Here is a 4,042-nt window from a genome sequence, read left to right on the forward strand (position 1 = left end):
ACATTTTCAGAAAAAGAAAAGCTGGGAGAATTCCTCATCAGAAGACTAGCACTTTAAGAAAGTTTAAAGAAAGTTTTTTCTGGCTAAACAAACATTCATCAAGAATTGTAGTAAGGAATGAGGTGTTAATAGTAGCTATGTGATTTTTTTTTAATTCTTTCATTTTTCAATTTATTTAAAATATCTTTTCCTATTTAAATAAAAAATAATATATCTGTTGGGTTTATGACATAAGTAGATGTAGCTCTCACATCAATAATAGTAAAAAGAAGAGAAAGGTGAAATAGAAGTATATGATTATACATTTCTAACATTTATCTGAAGTGGAATAACATACTTGAAAATAGACTATGATAAGTTAAGATGCACACTGCAAACTTTGGAGCTCCTACTATATAAAATTTAAGAGTTATAGCTAGTAAGGCCATAATAGAGAAAAATGAATAATTAAAATATTTAAATAGTCAAATGCAGAGTAAACGAACAAAAAATGTATGAGACAAATTGAAAACCAATAGCCAGATATACCCCAAAACAACCATATAAATAGATTAATTATAAATAATCAAAACTTTCCAAATAAATCCAGAGACTATTACACTTAATTAAAAGGCTAAATACAATTGTGTGTCATCTAGAAGAAGTATGTTTTATTTCATTATGATTATTATTACGATTATTATTTTTAGAGATAGGTTCTCACTCAGTTACTCAGGCTGCAGTGCAACGGTGTGATCATTGCTCACTGTACCTCAAAATTGTGACTCAAGCAATCCTCCTGCCTCACCTTCCTGAGGCAGCTAGGACTAGAGGAGAGTCCCATCATGCCTGGCTAATTTTTTATCCAAATTTTTTATTTAGCAGGCCTTTTTTTTTTTTTTTTTTTTTTTTTTTTTACTACAACTATGTAGTCAGTACTAATGTAATATTAGTTGGGAATAAAGGCCTGCTTTCAGAATTGAAATTGCTACCAATTTTAACAAATGATGGGTACACTTTTGAAGTCTATGTAACAACTAGGAAGTCATTTCCAAAATATGCCTCCCTTCAATGTGAAATCAGGTGTCTCATAGGCCAAATACATCATTGTAGTCATTACTACTTACTATTACATTGTAGTCAATACTAATGTAAAATTAGTTGGGAATATACATCATTATATTGATGATGTAGTCAATACTAATTCCCATGGAATACAATGGGAAATTAGTTGTAGGATAACGATTTCAATTAGTTGTAGGATGAAATATCCTACAACTAATTTCCCATTTCCTATCTTGAGAAGAAAAAAACTGTTTTTAATGCTGATGCTTCATATTCCTGGCTATTTGATGTAAGGAGTTCCAAGTGGTCAAAATATTTTATTCTATTTTAGCACAAATAACCTGGTACATTATTATCCCAGAAAAATGTAGCCTGTTTTCACATAAACTCACTGTTCTTTCACTATGTTTAAACTACTTACTGTACATTAGTACTTCCCATTACAGAATGAGCTTATATGCATATATCCCCTTGATTATATGATTTTTTAAATGGCTATTTCATTTGGTGAATTTTCTAGCATTATATTTCCAAGTGTTTAGTTTTTATTATGACCTATTTATTGGTTTTATTGATAGAATAATTTTCTGCCATTTCTAAATAGCATTTGATAAAAATTTTCTCCTAATTATGCCTCAGGGATTGTGTGAGAAATGGGTTCTTATAAGACCTTCAACTAAGTGGAAATTAAAAAAAAATCTTGTAAAAAGTTTTCTGGATGTAAGAGGGGAGGCTTTTCTGTGTTCAAATGTAATTACTTTGAAAAAACATCTCAATATCTTCAAAAGTATTAAAATCATAGAAGATACCTTAACCAACAAAATTATATGAGGAATTTATAACAAAAAATCTGCGTATCTCAAACTTTTGAGAAATTACCCTTCTGAAAAATTGATAGGTTGAAAAAGAAATTATAAAAGTAATTTAAATGTATTTTGAACTGAAAGTAAAGAAAAGCATTACACATTGAACTTTGTTGGATGTACTGAAAATAGTACATAAGAGGAAATTTTTAGCAACAAATACTTATATTAGAAAAGAATAATTGTTTCAAGTCAAAGATCTATGCATGGACCCAAAGAAACTAGAAAAAGAATAAACAAATCCCAAAAGAGCAAAAGGAAAGGAACACTAAAGATAAGGCTAAAGATAAATAAATTAGAAAATGGACAAATAATATAAAAGGTAGATCAAACCAAAAGTTAGTTCTTTGAAAATATTAAAATACATTGTTAAACCCCCAGCTAGATTGATGAGAGAGACAGAAAGAAAGAGAGAGAGGAAAAAAGAAACACAATTTGACAGTGACAGAATGAAAGGTCCTGCAGTTATTTAAAGTATAGTAAAAGAGTAATTTAAACTAAAATTTAAAGAAAATACATAAAAGAGGGGGAAGAGCCAAGATGGCCGAATAGGAACAGCTCTGGTCTACAGCTCCCACGTGAGCGACGCAGAAGACGGGTGATTTCTACATTTCCATCTGAGGTACCGGGTTCATCTCAGTAGGGAGTGCCAGACAGTGGGCGCAGGTCAGTGGGTGCAGCACACCATGTGCGAGCTGAAGCAGGGCGAGGTACTGCCTCACTCGGGAAGCGCAAGGGGTCAGGGAGTTCCCCTTCCTAGGCAAAGAAAGGGGTGACAGACAGCACCTGGAAAATCGTGTCATTCCCACCTGAATACTGCGCTTTTCCGACACTCTTAAAAAACAGCGCACTAGGAGACTATATCCCGCACGTGGCTAGGAGGGTCCTACGCCCATGGAGTCTTGCTGATTGCTAGCACAGTAGTCTGAGATCAAACTGCAAGGCGGCAGCGAGGTTGGGGGAGGGGCGCCCTCCACTGCCTAGGGTTGCTTAGGTAAACAAAGCAGCCGGAAAGCTCCAACTGGGTGCAGCCCACCACAGCTCAAGGAGGCCTGCCTGCCTCCGTAGGCTCTACCTCTGGGGGCAGGGCACAGACAAACAAAAAGACAACAGTAACCTCTGCAGACTTAAATGTCCCCGTCTGACAGCTTTGAAGAGAGCAGTGGTTCTCCCAGCACGCAGCTGGAGATCTGAGAACGGGCAGACTGCCTCCTCAAGTGGGTCCCTGACCCCTGACCCCTGAGCAGCCTAATTGGGAGGCACCCCCCAGCAGGGGCAGACTGACACCTCACAAGGCCGGGTACTCCTCTGAGACAAAACTTCCAGAGGAATGATCAGACAGCAGCATTCGCGGTTCACGAGAAACCACTGTTCTGCAGACACCACTGCTGATACCCAGGCAAACAGGGTCTGGAGTGGACCTCGAGCAAACTCCAACAGACCTGCAGCTGAGGGTCCTGTCTGTTGGAAGGAAAACTAACAAACAGAAAGGACATGCACACCAAAAACCCATCTGTACATCACCATCATCAAAGACCAAAAGTAGATAAAACCACAAAGATGGGGAAAAAACAGAGCAGAAAAACTGGAAACTCTAAAAAGCAGAGCACCTCTCCTCCTCCAAAGGAACGCAGTTCCTCACCAGCAATGGAACAAAGCTGGACAGAGAATGACTTTGACGAGTTGAGAGAAGAAGGCCTCAGATGATCAAACTACGAGCTACAGGAGGAAATTCAAACCAAAGGCAAAGAAGTTAAAAACTTTGAAAAAAATTTAGAAGAATGTATAACTAGAATAACCAATACAGAGAAGTGCTTAAAGGAGCGGATGGAGCTGAAAGCCAAGACACGAGAACTACATCAAGAATGCAGAAGCCTCAGGAGCCGATGCAATCAACTGGAAGAAAGGGTATCAGCGATGGAAGATGAAATGAATGAAATGAAGCGAGAAGGGAAGTTTAGAGAAAAAAGAATAAAAAGAAATGAGCAAAGCCTCCAAGAAATATGGGACTATGTGAAAAGACCAAATCTACGTCTGATTGGTGTACCTGAAAGTGACGGGGAGAATGGAACCAAGTTGGAAAACACTCTGCAGGATATTATCCAGGAGAACTTCCCCAATCTAGCAAAGCAGGC

The 4,042-nt window shown here is 37.4% G+C and overlaps 1 annotated feature.

Annotated features, from left to right (window-relative positions):
• Nucleotides 2,761-3,055: an enhancer, noted in NCBI's record as "tiled region #293; K562 Activating non-DNase unmatched - State 24:Quies". NCBI's record gives its function as "activates a minimal TATA promoter and a strong SV40 promoter by Sharpr-MPRA in K562 cells {active_cell/tissue: K562}" and the evidence as "EXISTENCE:reporter gene assay evidence [ECO:0000049][PMID:27701403]".

Source organism: Homo sapiens, chromosome 5, assembly GCF_000001405.40.
Source record: "Homo sapiens chromosome 5, GRCh38.p14 Primary Assembly".
Taxonomy (NCBI): domain Eukaryota; kingdom Metazoa; phylum Chordata; class Mammalia; order Primates; family Hominidae; genus Homo; species Homo sapiens.